Source organism: Homo sapiens, chromosome 1, assembly GCF_000001405.40.
Source record: "Homo sapiens chromosome 1, GRCh38.p14 Primary Assembly".
NCBI classification, from domain to species: domain Eukaryota; kingdom Metazoa; phylum Chordata; class Mammalia; order Primates; family Hominidae; genus Homo; species Homo sapiens.
In genome coordinates this window covers 205,102,515-205,120,021 of record NC_000001.11, presented here as the reverse complement: position 1 = coordinate 205,120,021, position 17,507 = coordinate 205,102,515, and the positions used below count along the sequence as shown (strand labels likewise).

The following is a 17,507-nucleotide window of genomic DNA, read 5'->3' as shown; positions in this document are numbered from 1 at the left end:
GAAAAAGACAGCTTTGGAGAAGCTGAATGTGGTCTAGGGGTCAGGAGACAGGTTTGGATTTATGGGAGAGATTTGTATTCTTTCAGATGGGCTCATTGAAACCTTGTGAATAGAGGACATGATCTAGAGAAAAAGTGGGAGGGGGAGAAAAGAAAATTGCCAAGCACACAATCTGTAGTTAGAGGTTAAGAGGAGGAATAAGTGGAGATAATAAGTTAGCTAACGGTTATAAAGTACTTTCTCTGAGCTAGGCAGATTTTCAAGTGCCTTCCATGTATTAATCTATGTAGAGGAAGAAGAGAGTACAGATTGGTGTGGCGTCTTCATAGAAGCCAATCAGAGCAGTTGAGTCTGAGGGCTGAGAATGGGTTGCTCTGTTTAGTCCTTTGGCAGCTTGGGACTCCTCAGCAGCTGGAACAGAAACCAGATTACAATGATTTTAGAATGGTGTGGGAGACAAGGGCAAAAGGTTGACGCTTACTTGTAAAAACTTAAGGATGGAAGAAAGGTGATAACGCTAGTACTTTGAAAGAGTAGCAGGATCTTGCAAAAGGCTTTTCTTGAATGATACAGAAGGTTCATTAGGATAAAACTTAGGAAGGAATATTTATTTTTATTTATCTTTTGAGACGGAGTCTTGCTCTGTTGCCCAGGCTGGAGTGCAGTGGCACAATCTCGGCTGACAGCAACTTGCGCTTCCCAAGTTCAACCGATTCTCCTACTTCAGCCCTCCCGAGTAGCTGGGATTACAGGCACCCAACACCACACCTGGCTATATTTTTTGTATTTTTAGTAGAGACTGGGTTTCACCATGTTGGCCAACCTGGTCAGGAACTCCTGACCTCAAGTGATCTGCCCACCTTGGCCTCTGAAAGTGCTGGGATTACAGGTGTGAGCCACTGTGCCCAGCCAGGAAGGAATATTTAGCACTGGAAGGTTAGACAAATTAAAGAAGCCTGGGTCCGAAAGATAACAATCTCTGAAAATGACTCTGCATTTTAAAGTGAGAAAGTTAATGATTATAGATAAAAGGAAAGGAACAGAAGTAATGTGATTGTGGAAGCCTACTGAAGGACATCTGGCCAGATGAAGGAAATGAATGACAATGTATTTTTAATGTGGTTAGACAAGTGGCTCATAGGTAGACACTAGTTTTACTTCTGCAACCACTTTTTGAGTCCCTGCTGTGTATTCACCAGTGTGCACCGGAGATATAATTAAATAAGATCATTTGTCAAACTTATTTTTACCACAAATCACAGTAAGAAATATATATTCTATCACAGTTCACTATATATACCTACACGTGTAACTAAGTTTCTCAGAATTATATTTAATCCTTGTTATGTTCAGTGTTCTCTGATAGTTTCTTTTCTTTTCTTTTCTTTTCTTTTTTCTTTAGAGGGAGTCTTGCTTCTGTCGCCCAGGCTGGAGTGCAGTGGCATGATCTTGGCGATCTTGGCTCATTGCAACCTCCGCCTCCTGGGTTTAAGTGATTCTCATGCTTCAGCCTCCCAAGTAGCTGGGATTACAGGCGTGTGCCACCATGCCCAACTAATTTTTTTTTTATTTTTAGTAGAGACAGGGTTTCACCATGTTGGCTCAGCTGGTCTCAAACTCCTGACCTAGTGATCTGCCCACCTCGGCCTCCCAAAGTGCTGGGATTACAGGCGTGAGCCGCTGCACCTGGCCGATATTTTCTAATCTATTGCAACATTTGTTCCAACTCACTAAATTAATGTATCCATTTATGGTGGATTGCGTCTTACTGTTTGAAAAACATTGAAATAAGATACCACTTTTGCCCTCGTAAATAGAGCTAAGAGGAGAGACAAACAAGTAGCTGTGTATAATAGGGAACCACAATAAATGAGCTATGGGAATCCAGCTAAAAGCACTTACAAGCAGTTGAGGTGGGGTGTGGTGACTCACGCCTGTAATCCCAGCACTTTGGGAGGCCAGAGTGGGTGGATCACCTGAGGTCAGGAGTTGGAGACCAGCCTGGTCAACATGGTGAAACCCCGTCTCTACTAAAAATACAAAAATTAGCCGGACATGGCAGTGCATGCCTGTAATCCCAGCTACTCGGGAGGCTGAGGCAGGAGAATCACTTAAACCTGTGAGGCAGAGGTTGGAGGGAGCCAACATCATTGCATTCCAGCTTGGGAGACAAGAGCGAACTCTGTCTCAAAACAAATAAATATATATATGGATATATATATATGTACAGATACAGAAAAAAAGCCTCCCCATCCCAAATTTTCAGTGGGGTTATCCTTTTATACCTTTTTCCTTGCTCATATAAACACACTTACACATACATTTGTTTATTTTTATTTTTATTTTTATTATTCTTTTTTTGAGACAGAGTTTCCCTCTTGTTGCCCAGGCTGGAGTGCAATGGTGTGACCTCGGCTCACTGCAACCTCTGCCTCCCAGGTTCAAGAGATTCCTCTGCCTCAGCCTCTGGAGTAGCTGGGATTACAGGCATGCGCCACCACGCCTGGCTAATTTTGTATTTTTAGTAGAGACAGGGTTTCTCCATGTTGGTCAGAGTGGTTTTGAACTCCCGACCTCAGGTGATCCACCTGCCTCAGCTTCCCAAAGTGCTGGGATTACAGGCATGAGCCACCACACGGGCTCTTTACACATAAATTTGTAAGGACTAGGCCGGGCGTGGTGGCTCATGCCTGTAATCTCAGCACTTTGGGAAGCTGAGGCAGGTGGATCCCTTGAGGTCAGAAGTTTGAGACCAGCCTGGCCAACATGGTAAAACCCTGTCTCTACTAAAAATACAAAATTAGCCGGGCATGGTGCCACATGCCTGTAATCCCAGCTGCTGCTCAGGAGGCTGGGGCAGGAGAAGCGCTTGAACTTGGGAAGCAGATGTTGCAGTGAGCCAAGATTGCACCACTGCCCTCCAGCCTGGGAGACAGACCGAGACTCCGTCTCAAACAAACAAACAAACAAAAAAAACCAGGCCGGTCGAAAAACAAAAAAAAACCCAAAAAAACTAAAACAAAGAAATAAAGAGAATTTCATGTTTAATCAACTGCTATTTGCTGTTGCAACCTAAATGCTGTTATTAGTCAGGAAGGGGTGTGATCGCTGCTTTTGTTAAAGGTTTCAAGGTTTCAAAGAGTAATTGTGATAATTTGACTGATATGAATTGACTCTTGCCTTTCCTTGCTCTTTTTCTTTTTGTTTTGAGACGGAGTCTTGTTCTGTCGCCCAGGTTGGAGTGCAGTGGCACGATCTCAGCTCACTGCAACCTCCGTCTCCCAGGTTCAAGTGATTCTCCTGCTTCAGCCTCCTGAGTAGCTGGGATTACAGGTGCACACCACCACACCTGGCTAATTTTTGTATTTTTAGTAGAGACGGGGTTTCACCATTTTGGCTAGGCCGGTCTTGAACTCCCTTGTGATCTGCCGCAACTTGGCCTCCCAAAGTTCTGGGATTACAGGCGTGAGCCACCGAGCCCGGCTCCTTGCTCTTACCTTAGTAAATTTGGAAATAAATTGTGAAATGCCCAAAAGGTGTGATGGAGAAAGACTGTTGCTAACTTGGATATGTCAACAGTTCTCAAACTTTTTAGTATCAGGATCCTATTATACTTTTAAGAAGTAGAGGGTCCCCAGAGAGTTTTTGTTTATGTAGGTGATATCTACCTACCAGTGTTTACCAATTTAGAAGTTAAAACTGAGATAATATTTTTAAAGCATATTATATAGAAATAACCATAATAAATCCATTACATGTTTATGTGAGTAGTTATTTTGTTTTCAAAAACAAAGTATTTAGTGAGGAAAATGCCACTGTTGTGACATTTTTACAAATCTCTTCAATGTTTGCCTGAATAGAAGTTGGGGGACTTCTCACATCTGCTTCTGCCCTCACTCTGTTTCAATATCCCAGGTCATATAGTCTCAGGAAAACGCATCTGTATATTTCCGAGATAATGAGAGTAAACAAGTCATCTTAGCAGGATCTTGAAAATCCGTATGGCCTCATGGAATGCCTGAAAGGGCATCATATCCCCCTTTTCGTTTTGTCAGCCACTGCTATACACTGTTCGTGAGTTGTATGATCCTTGCTATGTGGTACATGTGCCATCAACTCTTTCTTTGCTTTGTTGCAGAGTCCTTTGGGCAGAACTATCCAGAGGTAAGAGTATAGTATTGTGGTGATTTTAGGAACATAGTAACTTCTGGGTGTTTATGTTAGAACAGAAAATACTTTTTGATCCTTGTGTTTTGACAGAGAAGCATTAAGTGTGATAATATATCTTATGCTATAATAAGGAGCTAGTGTACAATTTTGATCAGGGAGGAAATAGGCAATGTGGGCTAGAAATCTTACCATGATGTTGTAATCTTACAGTTCATTTTCCTTTAAATAAAAGAAAAACTTTCATTGAAGGATTTTTCACAAACACCACCATCATAGGTTTGTGCTTTTCTCGTTTTGATCAATGTTTTTATGTAGTAAAGCAAAATGTATGCTATAGATGTGCTTTACTTTTTTAATTGTAAAACTATTTTATAACACTTGAATGTTTGAGGATAGACATTGTGGTTATTTTAAATAGCTTGGTATTGATATGAAATAATTTGACTTCTCTAATGTTATGCATTGTAGGCTATTCCAGGGTTTTTCTTTTTTAATTATTTAAAAAATTCTTTTAAATTCTTTTTGTTTAAATTCTTTTTGTTTTAAATTCTTGGAATAAATTCCCAGAATTACAATGACTGCATCAATAGATATGACTTTTTAAATACTTCTGTTATATTTTGCCCATTTGCCCTCCAGAAAGTTTATACAAAGTTATAGTAGTGATGTAAGGGATTGATCACATCTGTTTCCAGAATCCATGGTTAGCTTTAATAAATGTTCCTTCATTTTGGCTATTTTAATAGATATAAGAAGACACAGAGAGATTATTTGGTATGCAGTGTAATTTATATTCAATAAAAGTATCACAAGTGATAAAGAACCTTTAGGAAATAATTTGGATACCTGGCTATTGTTGCCTCTATTCTTGTATTTGTTTCAATTTTTAGGAAGCTGATGGAACTTTGGATTGTATCAGCATGGCTTTGACTTGCACCTTTAACAGGTGGGGCACACTGCTTGCAGTTGGCTGTAATGATGGCCGAATTGTCATCTGGGATTTCTTGACAAGAGGCATTGCTAAAATAATTAGTGCACACATCCATCCAGTGTGTTCTTTATGGTAAGACATTTTTTAATTAATATTTAAATATGAGGAGAATGAATGATGACTATATATTTGCAAATCTCATTGTAGATATTTTAATACTTAGATTTTTAAATATTCAGCCATTAGTAATACAGTTTATCATGGTTTATGTAGATCCTGAGTCCATGCTGTCCTTGAAGCACCTTTCTTGGGAGAAATTCATTGTATTATGGATCTGTATCAGGCGCTGAGAATATCTCAATACTGAAATGAAATATTTTCAGATTGTAATTGTAGTATAATTGTGATATTGACTTTTCATTTAGAATAAAAAGTCTCGGTTAGGACAGAAGCTTGGAAGTCATCGAGTCCAGTTTTGTGCAGTTTACTGAATTCCAGTAATTTTAGTGGTCACAAGTATGACTATTCCTTCAATGAAATATAGTTATTAAGGCTTTATAGAAAACGTAAAAACAGTTGAAATCTGCTGTAACATAAATTCCCATTGATTTCACTCTTGCTCTCTGAAACTATTTGCTTCAGAAAATTTTATTTTGGGGCAGCATTTTTTTTAAATGAACTTGGGGCCAACAAAAGGACCTAATCAGATCAAGGTTAAGTCTATCTCCTTTTGTCTAAATGGTATTATAAAGCACTGGATTGGGAGGAGGCCTGAATCACAGTAAAGTTTGGCCAGTAAAGTACTGGTGGCCTGGGCCAAAACTTTTCTTTCATATCCAATAATCCAGGAAGCACTGGCCTGGATGATCTCTTAGGTTCCTTCCACCGCCTTTCTGTTTCTTTTTTGTTGTATTCTTGCAATAAAGATTCAAATAGGGCCAGGCGCGGTGGTTCACGCCTGTAATCCCAGCACTTTGGGAGGCTGAGGCGGGTAGGTCACTTGAGGTCAGGAGTTTGAGACTGGCCTGGCCAACATGGTGAAACCCCGTCTCTACTAAAAATACAAAAATTCGCCAGGCATGTTGGCGGGTGCCTGTAATCCCAGCTACTTGGGAGGCTGAGGCAGGAGAATCGCTTGAACCTGGAAGGCAGAGGTTGCAGTGAGCTGAGATTGTGCCACTGCACTCTAGCCTGGGCAACAGAGTGAGACTCTGTTTCAAAAAAAAAAAAAAAATACACATTTTTATGTGTGTGTGTATGTGTTTCACATAATATAAAATTTCGAGTGTACAATTCACAAGTTTTTATATATTCAGAGTTGTGCAACCATCATCACAATATAATTTTAGAACTCCTGGCGAGATGCGTTGGCTCATGCCTATAATCCCAGCGCTTTGGGAGGCTGAGATGAGAGGATTCCTTGAGCCCAGGAGACCAACATAGTGAGACCTCATCTCTACAAAAAGTAAAAAAATTAGCTGGGTGTATGGTGCACATCTGTAGTCCTGGCTACTTAGGAAGCTGAAGTGGGAGAATCACTTGAACACAGGAGTTCTAGGCTGTAATGAGCCATGATTGTGCCACTGCACTCCAGTGCCTGGGTGACAATAAACCTTGTCTCTTAAAAAAAAAAAGAACTCTTACCTATTAAAAATATGTGTGTTTTTATTATATACTAATATATACTTATTCTAGAAAATCATGGAAAATAAAACAAAATAGAGATAACTAGTATTTTCTGTAGTCCTCCTAACCAGATACTACTACTTTGTACGTATAGATTTTTGTTGTTGTTGCTGAGACAGGGTCTTGCTCTGTGGCCCAGGCTGGAGTGCAGTGGCTAGTCACAGGCACGATCACAGTTCACTGCAACCTTGAAATCCCAGGCTCAAGTGATCCTCCCGCGTAGCTAGGTCTACAGATGTGCGCCACCATGCCTGGCTAATTTTAAAAAATTTTTTATAGAGACAGGGTCTTGCTGTGTTGCTCAGGCTTGTCTTGAACTCCTGGCTTCAATCGATCCTCCTGCCTCAGCCTCCCAAAGTGCTGGGATTACAGGTGTGAGCCACCATGTCTGCCCAGTTTCTAGATATGATTTTTTAAAGCATAGTTTGTAATTGTGCTATATTCTGTATTTTGCTTTTCCCTCCTAATACTGTCTCGACATTTTTCTGCTTGAGTAGCCTTTAACAACTTTTTAAATGACTGTATATTGTCTGATAAACCATAATTTACTTAACCATTTTCTGTTTTTTTTCCTCAACTACATAGTGTTTAGTGAATGTCTTTGTGCCATAGTTTTTCTTATATATTCATTCATTCATTTATTCAGCAGGTGTTGACCATGAGTTATGTACCAGGTGCTATGTTAGGCTCTGGGGACACAAAAACAAATGAGAAATTCTAGATGATTAGTGGGAGGTGGATTTGCATACAGGTACATATACTAAAGCTTTATATGTCCTATACAAGAACTATATTTAAGATTTAGTGGAGATGAAAGCACAAAGAAGGAAGTTATCAATTGTAGTGAAGGGGAATAACGGTCAGAAAAGCCGTCATAGATGAGATAATTTATAACTGTATTTTATTTTAATTTTTTTGAGACAGAGTCTTGCTCTGTTGCCCAGGCTGGAATGCAGTGGTGCGATCTCGGCTCACTGCAACCTCCACCTCCCGGGTTCAGGCAATTCTCCTGCCTCAACCTCCTGAGTAGCTGGAATTACAGGTGCACACCACCATGACCGGCTGATTTTTGTATTTTTAGTAGAGACAGTGTTTTGCCATGTTGGCCAGGCTGGTCTTGAACTACTGACCTCAGGTAATCTGCTTGCCTTGGCCTCCCAAACTGTTAGGATTGCAGGTGTGAGCCTCCATGCCCAGCCAGATAATTTATAACTTTAAATTTGTAAGATAAGTAGATGTTGCCAGATATATTCCAAGCAGAGGGCACTGCACAGGCCAAGGCATATCAGCTTGAAACAAGTATGGTACAATGGGGAACTACAGGTATCAGGATAGCTGGATTGTGGTATGGGACATACGATATGACAAGAGCCAAGGTAAACCAAGGTCCTCATGGAGAACCTCGTCTGCCATACTCAGGAATTTGATTCCTAGCTCATATGTACTCTGAAGTCATTAAAAGATTTTGGCAGGAAAGTCACATGATGAGCTTTTATTTTAGAAAGATCTTCAAAGCAACAAGTAGAAAAGAGATTGAAGGGGCAACAGTAAGTGAACATAGGAGAACTGCTGTGGTCTAGGCTGGAGATAATGAGTGTTGCAGTAAGAAAGGAGCCAAGTTAGACAGATGTGAGAAATGGTAGAAATAAGAGGACTTAGTCATTAATTTGATTGGGGTGTGAGTGAAATGGAGAAGTTAAGATAATTCTTAGGTTTCTGGCTTGGTTGAAGATACTCATTAATGGAAGATTTGAGGGGGAAGTGGTGAGTTTGAGATTATGGTTGCATGTCTCCTATTATTTTCATGTTAGTTTATTGCAAATATTTGTGTTAGAGTATCTTCCCTGTAAGATCTTAAGTGCTGTTTGAGTACAAACCTTGTGTGCCATTTCACTGCTATGTTCTCAGCTTCTAGCGTTGTACCTGATATACAGTAGCCATTCAGATACTTGTCGGATGAATGGGAAATGTCCCAATAAGCATCTGAGATGCCCAAAGGGCATTTGGTCTATGAGTTCTCATTACAGTAGACTTCCAGAAGTGTTATTAGTCAGTCAAAGGATATAAAGTAAGAGATTTTTCAACCCCTCCCTCCAACATTTTTAATATTTTAAAATCACAAAACCTATACTTGATTATTTAAAAGTTTTTTGTTTTTTTTAAATTTTTTCGAGACAGAGTCTTGCTCTGTCACCCAGGCTGGAGTGCAGTGGCACGATCTCGGCTCACTGCAACCTCCGCCTCCCAGATTCAAGTGATTCTCCTGCCTCAGCCTCCTGAGTAGCTGGGATTACAGAAGCAGGCCACCACGCCCGGCTAAGTTTTGTATTTTTAGTAGAGGTGGGGTTTCACCATGTTGGCCAGGCCAGTCTTGACCTCCCGACCTCAGGTGATCTGCCTGCCTTGGCCTCCCAAAGTGCCAAGATTACAGTAGTGAGCCACCGTGCTTGGCCATTTAAAAATATTTTTAAAAATTAAAAGAATATATAAATATGCAAAGTAAAAAATGAAAGCCCTTTGTCTACTTCTTAGGGTAACCACTGTTAAAGAGTGTGGAATATATTCTATCTATAAGATATCTATATCTTTTTATGTGGGAAATAATTAATACATATATCCACATAATATGTTTTTAAACAAAAATAAATATATTTTGTTCTGTAGCTTGCTTTTCCACTTAGCATATAGTGGATATTTCTCTGTGTCTCCTTATTTTATATAGTTGTGTCTATAGAGTATTGCACAGTATACATGCATCATAGATTTAACTGTTCCTTATTTGAGCATATTAGGGAACAAATTTTACCAAGGGAAGTTTTAGGTAGGCATGATAGCTGACTTCAACTATTAGTAAAGTTGATGTATGAAAGAGAGAAAAAATGGCCCAGGATGTAGAAGCAGAACTGGTAGGTACTGGCTGGGCACGGTGGCTCATGCCTGTAATCCCAGCACTTTCAGAGGCCGAGGCTCACCAATCACTTGAGGTCAGGAGTTCGAGACCAGCCTGGACAACATGGTGAAACTCCGTCTCTACTAAAAATACAAAAATTAGCTGGGTGCGGTGACATGCGCCTGTAATCCCAGCTACTCGGGAGGCTGAGGCAGGAGAATCGCTTGAACCGGCATATGGAGGTTGCGGTGAGCCGGGATCTGCCTGGGCGACAGAGCGAGACCCTGTCTCGGAAAAAAAAAACCCAAAAAACAAAACAGAACTAGTAGGTAGTGAACAGAAGTTAGCTATAGGGAAACAAAGTTAACTCCAAGTAGAGAGGAGCTCCCAAGCAGAGGTGCTGTGGGTGGGATTGACTGCCCAGGAGAGAGCTATCTGAGAGCTGTTCCTGCCTGAGCTTGCCACCCCCCTTGTTAGGATGCTGCAGAAGAAATTCAAGCACTGGATGGGGGCCATAGGTAGACTTTAGCACATTGGAATCAGTAAAGACCCATCTGTTTTTGGGAAAGAAGCTGTGAAAAAGTATAATTCCTAATTCTTGAGGTTATGGAATTTGGAATTGAAGAATAAATTTTTTTTTAGTTTTTACTTTTGTTTATAACTTAATTTTTAGTTAGATTTCCCTCCATTATGACAGAAATACAAGCTTGCTGTGAAAGAAAACAAAAATTATAGTGCAGTAGCAGTAGGTTTTTTTTCTTTTTTTTTTTACCCCACCCACCCCCTAGTACAGAAGAGTTTAGAGGGAAAATAGAATCATAGCTAACATTTTGTTCTATAGTCAAATTGTGCTAACAGGCCTACAAGAATAGCAACGAAACCTGTTCCTTTTTTCTCCTCACTCTCAGTCTTGTGCCATTCCCAGTAGACTTCTATTTTTGGGGGCTATTTCTTCTGCTGTTTAGCTTCATATTTCTGATATAATGTGTATTGCTTTTTCTTGGTTTGTTAATTTCAGAAATTGGGTTTCCTGTTACAGTGTATTTGAATTTTAACTTACCCTTTACCCTCCCATCATCCACCCTTTTACCCTCCTATCATCATCATCATCCAGCTATTGGCTTTTTTATTGTGCACCTTTGCATTTTAACACCTTTAGGCCTCTTTAGAGTTGACATTCTCTAGAAGGACTCACTGATTGCCTGACTACAGGTATTCTAGACCCAGTAGAAGAGACACACAGAGTCCTTTTGTGTGCAGGCTTTAACTTAATCCCTCTATATTTATAACCTTAGCTTACCCCTGCCTTCCTCTGTTCCTAGAGTCCTGAGTCTGGCAGTATATTTATTTTGTCTCTGATATAAATAATTTTTTGAGCACTTATTATGTACCAGGCATTGAGCACTTATTATGTATCAGGCATTGAGTACTTATTATGTGCCAAGCCAAGAATTCTGTATGTATTAAATTCTTTCAACAGCCTTCTGCAGGTCGATACCGTTTTTATTCCTGTGTTATAGATGAGGAAATTGAAGCCCATAAAGCTTAAGTAACGTGCTAAGATCACACAGCTAGGAGGTAGTAATGTCTAGGCTTGAGTAGAAGTCTGACTTTTGAGCCATATTCTTAACCATGGAGATTATATTGCCTGCTGAGTTTCTCAATAGCACCTCCTCTTGATTTCAAAACCTGGGTAAAGTATCGGTTTTGGGTTACTTTTTTACTTGTTCCATTTGTTTTTTGTTTTTGTTTCCTGCCTTCCTGTGGGCTACTTGGACAAGTTTTTAGAATTCCATTTTGCTTTATCTGTAGTGTTTTTTGAGTGTATACCCTTGTGTAGCTTTAGTGGTTACTAGGTTTTACATCATACATTTATAACTTACCACAGTCTACTGGTGATAAGTTGTATTGGTGAACATTTTACCAGTTCAAGTGAAGTGTAGAAACCTTACCTTCCTGTTGTCCCCTTGTCCTTTCTTGTGTGTAATATAATTGTCTTAAATATTTGCTCTACATACATTGACACCCACATAAGACAGTGTTAAAATGTGTGTTTCAAACATCAAAACTCAAGAAGAGAAAAAGTAATTTTTTTTTTTTTTGAGACGGATTCATGCTCTGTCACCCAGGCTGGAGTGCAATGCTGCGATATCTGCTCACTGCAACCTCCGCCTCCCAAGTTCAAGTGATTCTCCAGCCTCAGCCTCCCGAGTAGCTGGGACTACAGGCGTGCACTACCACACCCAGCTAATTTTTGTATTTTTAGTAGAGACCGGGTTTCACCATGTTGACCAGGATGGTCTCGATCTCTTGACCTCATGATCCGCCCGCCTTGACCTCCTAAAGTGCTGGGATTACAGGCGTGAGCCACAGCGCCTGCCTTTTTTTTTTTTTTTTTGAGACAGATTTTTGCTCTTGTTACCCAGGCTGGAGTGCAATAGCGCGATCTCGGCTCACTGCAACCTCTGCCTCCTGGTTTCAAGCGATTCTTTAGCCTCAGGCTCCCAAGTAGCTGGGATTATAGGCATGTGCTACCATGCCTGGCTAATTTTTGTATTTTTAGTAGAGACGGGTTTTCAGCATGTTGGCCAGGCTGGTCTCCAACTGCCAACCTCAGGTGATCCACCTACCTTGGCCTCCCAAAGTACTGGGATTATAGGCGTGAGCCACCGCACCTGGCTTAGAAAAAGTAATTTTATCTACCCATATATTTATACTCTTTTCATTGTTCATTCTTCCTTCCTGATGTTCTAAACCCTTCCTTTAATCTTTTCCGAACATTATGTAGCCATTCTTTAGAGTATGTCTGCTAGCAACAAGTGTCTCAGTTTACCCGTTTATTCCTGGAATGACAGTTCTTTTCTTTCAGTGCTTGAAAAATGTGCCACTTCCTTCTGGCCTTCATGGTTTCTGATGAGAAATCCCTTTTCATTCATATTGTTGTTCCCCTATAGATAAGGCATCATTTTTCTCTTGCAGCTTTCAAGATTTTTTCATTGTCTTTAGTTTTCAGAAGTTTGTATTTCTCGGAGTGGATTTCTTTGGGCTCATCCTAGTTGATGTTCTTGAATCTGTAGGTTTTGTATCTCTTGCCAGATTTAGGAAATTTTCAGCCATTATTTCTTCAAATAACCTTAACATCCCAGTCTGTATTCTCTCCTTCCAGGATTCTGATGACATGAATATTACATCTTTTGTTATAGTTCTACAGGTCTCTGAGGCTCTGTGTGTATAGATACATATGTGTGTGTGTGTGTATATATATATATGTATACACACACACACACATACATATACACACATATATACACACAGACACATATATATATATGTCTATGGTAATTTTTATTCCATCTTCCAGTTTGCTAATTCTTTCCCTTTTTTTCCTCCATTGGCTGCTGAATTCATCTATTGAGTTTATTTCTGTTACTATATTTTTCAGTTCTAAAATTCCCATTTGGTTCTTCTCTGTATCTTCTGTTTCTTTGCTAAGATTTTCTGGGCTTTTTTCCCCATCTGTTTCAGGCATGTTCATAATTGTTGAAGCATTTTTATGATGGCTGCATTATAATCCTTGTCAGATAATTCTAACATTTATGTCATTTCTGTATTAGTGTCTATTGATTGTCTTTTCTTATTCGAGTTGAGATTTTCTTTGTTCTTGAGTTGACAAGTGATTTTCAGTTGAAACCTGGGCATTTTGGGTATTATGAGACTGTAGATCTTATTTATTTTTTACTTTTTCTTGAGACAGAGTCTCACTCTGTTGCCTAGGCTGGAGCCCAGTGGCGCCATCTTGGGTCACTGCAACTTCTGCCTCCCAGGTTCAAGCGATTCTCCTGCCTCAAGCCTCCCGAGTAGCTGGGACTACAGGTGCACACCACCATGCCCGGCTAATTTTTTGTATTTTTAGTAGACAACGGAGTTTCACCATGTCGGCCAGGCTGGTCTCAAACTCTGGGCCTCAAGTGATTTGCCTGCCTTGGCCTCCCAAAGTGCTGGGATTACAGGTGTGAGCCATTGCGCCCGTCCTATAGATGTTATTTAAATCTTTTAGTTTAGCAGGCCTCCTCTGATACTGCACAGGGAAATGGAGTGTACCATCTTGTTATTCCCAGAGGTGGGTGAAAGTCCAGGTTTCTTCTTACTTGGCCTCATTACTGCTGGGTGGGATTGGAAGTTTAGGCTCTCCACTAGGTCTCTGCTGATAACATCCTGTCTGGGAAGGATAGGAATTCCTTGTTCCTTCTCTCTATGTGTCCTTCTCTGACACCATGGTGGTGCGACCTCATTACTGCTGGTGGTAATGCAAATCTGATTCTCTACTGATCCTTCTCTGACACCACCCCAGTGAGGTGGGGAGGGTGCCTTGTTATAGCTGGATAAAGGTGAAGTCTAGGCTATCTGCTTCAACCTGGCTAAGAGGGGGATTTGCATTTCTTTTCTGTGATGTTTGGCTGGCGTAGGTTGGTTATTGTCTTAAAGTTTTCTGTCTTGCTGGGCTGTCCTTTTCTGGTCCCTTAGCTCTTCTTGGGGCTTTTTATGCGTGCCCACTGGCATTACCAGGTTGTTGGCTTCTCCTTCACCCAGAACGGGGAACATGAGGCAGAAAATTCAGGGATTTCACTACTGTGTCATCCTTAAGATTCTACAGTCTCTGGCTTGCCTGTCCTTTGTCTACCTTTCAGAACCTTTTTTGTCTGTTTTATATATTATGTCCAGTGTGTTTATCTGTACTTACCAGGAGGAATTAATTCTTTCTCAGTTCTTTTAAAATTATTTTAAATAACAGATACTTATCATTTTTTTGTTTTGTTTATACCATGATGGTGCTACTTCTGAGATGACTTCAGAAAGTTCAAATATATCAACTCTTAAAGCGCAGCTGATTTTTTAGACTCTTCTAAGATGTTTTAATCTCTTATTTCACTGAGTCACTTTATAGTTTTATCTTGAAATATTATGAGCTTCCATTACTAGATAGTAAAATGTCATGAAAACCTTCTTATTAATTGCCTAGTTGGAAAAGCTTATGGATTTGAGTATACGTGGAACAAAACCAAAAACATTGTTGACCTGTGCAGTTGCAGCAATGTGTGTGACTTACACAGTTTATTCATGAGAGTGGTATGATATACTTAGAATATGTGCTAAATTACCCCTTTTTTTTCCTCAGCTGGAGCCGAGATGGTCATAAACTCGTGAGTGCTTCCACTGATAACATAGTGTCACAGTGGGATGTTCTTTCAGGCGACTGTGACCAGAGGTTTCGATTCCCTTCACCCATCTTAAAAGTCCAATATCATCCACGAGATCAGTATGTTTAAGCTATTTCTCTCCTGGGGTGGGGTCTAATTCTATATGGATTAGCTCTGGGCTCATGATAATTTTAGTTTATGGTTTTAGAAGGCAAATACACATCTCTTCAAACCTTCTACATAAAATAATCTTTCCATCTAGGTTGGCTCTACTGAATACATTTCTTTCTTTCTTTCTTTCTTTTTTTTGAGACAGAGTCCTGCTCTGTCACCCAGGCTGGAGTGCAGTGGCGCCATCTTGGCTCACACAACCTCTGCCTCCTGGGTTCAAGATTCTCCTGCCTCAGCCTCTCGAGTAGCTGGGACTGCAGGTGCGTGCCACCATGCCTGGCTAATTTTTGTATTTTTAGCAGAGACAGAGTATCCCCATGTTGGCCAGGTTGGTCTCGAACTCCTGACCTCGTGATCTGTCCACCTCAGCCTCCCAAAGTGCTGGAATTACAGGCATGAGCCACTGCGCCTGGCCCTGAATGCGTTTTTTTTAATTTAAATTTTAATTTTTTTGAGATGGAGTCTCGCTGCGACGCTCTAGCTGGAGTGCAATGGCACAGTCTCAGCTTACTGCACCCTCCTCCTCCTGTTTTCAAGCGATTCTCTTGCCTCGGCCTCCCAAGTAGCTGGGATTACAGGTGCAGGCACCACATCCGGCTAAGTTTTTGTATTTTTAGTAGAGATGGGGTTTCACCATGTTGGCCAGGCTGGTCTCGAACTCCTGACCTCAAGTGATCTGCCCGCCTCAGCCTCCCCAAAGTGCTGGGATTACAGGCGTGAGCCACTGCACCTGGCCTCTTACTTTTTTTTAATGATCATGTTTTATTTTGTCAAGACTAATTTTACTCAGAATTTTCCCTGTTATTAGACCTGTGGATTTTATGCTTTTTCACTGTTTCAAATTTGCTTGGGTGGGAGAATTGATGAGGGTATGGACAGGGATCAGGGAAAAGGACAGGGAATCAGCTTGCTGATACCAAAGCAACAGCCAATGTACTGTTCGTATTTTTAAACAGGAACAAGGTTCTCGTGTGTCCCATGAAATCTGCTCCTGTCATGTTGACCCTTTCAGATTCCAAACATGTTGTTCTGCCGGTGGACGATGACTCCGATTTGAACGTTGTGGCATCTTTTGATAGGCGAGGGGAATATATTTATACGGGAAACGCAAAAGGCAAGGTAAGCCTAAAAGCTGGCAAATCAGGCATCTTGTACACTGGCTCATTTAATGTTTACTTGTTTTGTTTCTTTTGAAAATTGTTTTTATTCTTGGACTAAGCACAGCTCCTTTCTGCAGCAAATGTAGTCTAATTTTCTTCCATCTCTTAATAATAATTTTTGTTCTTTGGATTTAGAGTGATAGAGATTATTTGACCTAGAAAAGCATGGGAGGACCTTTACTGGATGCTAGTAATGAAGGGCCATTATGAAATTATAAAATTTCAATGTCATGTTATCAGCTGGAACACTGCTGATCAAAATTTCTCAATATCTGGTTTTATAAAAGATTGTATAATTCAGGCCAGCTTAACTTACAGTACTGAGACTTATTCTTCTTTTTCCTTCAAACTTCTGACTTTGCCTTTTGGAATGTGTAGGCCCTTTTCTCTGGAATACATTGTAGAAGGTGTTTCTTCTGTGGAATAAGAAGTCAGGTTAGGTGACCTTTTAAAGATTCTTTTCATGCTTAGGATAGTTCCACTGGGCATCTTGATTTATTTTTATTTTTATTTTTTGACTGTGGCACATGGGTTAGTATAATTTCATGGCTATTTTAGAAAGGCAATTTTTCCTTTTTTTTTTTTTTTTTTTGAGATGGAGTCTCACTCTGTTGCCTAGGCTAAAGTGCAGTGCATGATCTCGGCTCACTGCAACCTCCATCTCCTGGGTTCAAGCGAATCTCCTGCCTCAGCCTCTTGAGTAGCTGGAATTACTCCTGACCTCAAGTGATCCGCCCACCTCAGCCTCCTAAAGTGCCGTGATTATAGGTGTGAGCCACTGCACCCGGCCTTAGAAAGGCAATTTTTTTTTTTTTTTTTGAGATGGAGTTTCGCTCTTGTTGTTGCCCAGGCTGGAGTGCAATGGCACCATCTCAGTTCACCGCAACCTCTCCCTCCCGGGTTCCAGCGATTCTCCTGCCTCAGCCTCCCGAGTAGCTGGGATTACAGGCATTCATCACCACACCTGGCTAATTTTGTATTTTTAGTAGAGACGGGGTCTCTCCATGTTGATCAGGCTGGTCTTGAACTCCCAACCTCAGGTGATCCACTTGCTTCAGCCTCCTAAAGTGCTGGGATTATAGGTGTGAACCACCGCGCCTGGCCTAGAAAGTTGATTTTTAAGAAATTGTGATAAAATACACACAGCATAAATTTTACCATTTCAGCCATATTTAACTGTACAGTTCAGTGGTAATTAATGTACATTCACTCTATTGTGCAATGATCACCATCCATCTTTAGAAATCTTTTCTTCTTGTAAAACTGGAATTCTGTACCTATTGAATCATAATTTCCCATTC

The 17,507-nt window shown here is 40.5% G+C and overlaps 1 protein-coding gene across 10 annotated transcripts in view, besides 4 other annotated features; it reads left to right on the top strand.

Moving 5' to 3' along the window:
* RBBP5 (RB binding protein 5, histone lysine methyltransferase complex subunit) overlaps positions 1–17,507 on the top strand; it is a 35,837-nt gene that overhangs the window by 1,957 nt on the left and 16,373 nt on the right. For 5 of the 10 annotated variants that reach the window (XM_047426905.1, NM_001193272.2, XM_011509833.4 and 2 more), the window contains exons 2-5: positions 4,139–4,164; positions 5,061–5,233; positions 14,854–14,994; positions 16,003–16,165. In XM_047426905.1, coding sequence (XP_047282861.1) covers positions 4,139–4,164; positions 5,061–5,233; positions 14,854–14,994; positions 16,003–16,165 — 503 coding nt within the window. Of the gene's footprint in view, positions 1–3,915; positions 4,165–5,060; positions 5,234–14,853; positions 14,995–16,002; positions 16,166–17,507 lie in introns of those variants that run through there. The other 5 variants (NM_001193273.2, XM_047426907.1, XM_047426894.1 and 2 more) reach the window with 4 other exon arrangements.
* Positions 13,719–13,863: an enhancer, noted in NCBI's record as "145 bp 1:205075359 sequence used in MPRA reporter constructs". NCBI's record gives its function as "activates a minimal TATA-containing promoter with rs4950981 allelic activity by MPRAs in C283T melanocytes {active_cell/tissue: C283T}" and the evidence as "EXISTENCE:reporter gene assay evidence [ECO:0000049][PMID:36423637]".
* Position 13,791: a transcriptional cis regulatory region, noted in NCBI's record as "rs4950981 or 1:205075359 MPRA-significant variant associated with a GWAS melanoma risk locus at 1q32.1". NCBI's record gives its function as "allelic transcriptional activity by MPRAs in C283T melanocytes {active_cell/tissue: C283T}" and the evidence as "EXISTENCE:reporter gene assay evidence [ECO:0000049][PMID:36423637]".
* Positions 15,060–15,204: an enhancer, noted in NCBI's record as "145 bp 1:205074018 sequence used in MPRA reporter constructs". NCBI's record gives its function as "activates a minimal TATA-containing promoter with rs6683762 allelic activity by MPRAs in UACC903 melanoma cells {active_cell/tissue: UACC903}" and the evidence as "EXISTENCE:reporter gene assay evidence [ECO:0000049][PMID:36423637]".
* Position 15,132: a transcriptional cis regulatory region, noted in NCBI's record as "rs6683762 or 1:205074018 MPRA-significant variant associated with a GWAS melanoma risk locus at 1q32.1". NCBI's record gives its function as "allelic transcriptional activity by MPRAs in UACC903 melanoma cells {active_cell/tissue: UACC903}" and the evidence as "EXISTENCE:reporter gene assay evidence [ECO:0000049][PMID:36423637]".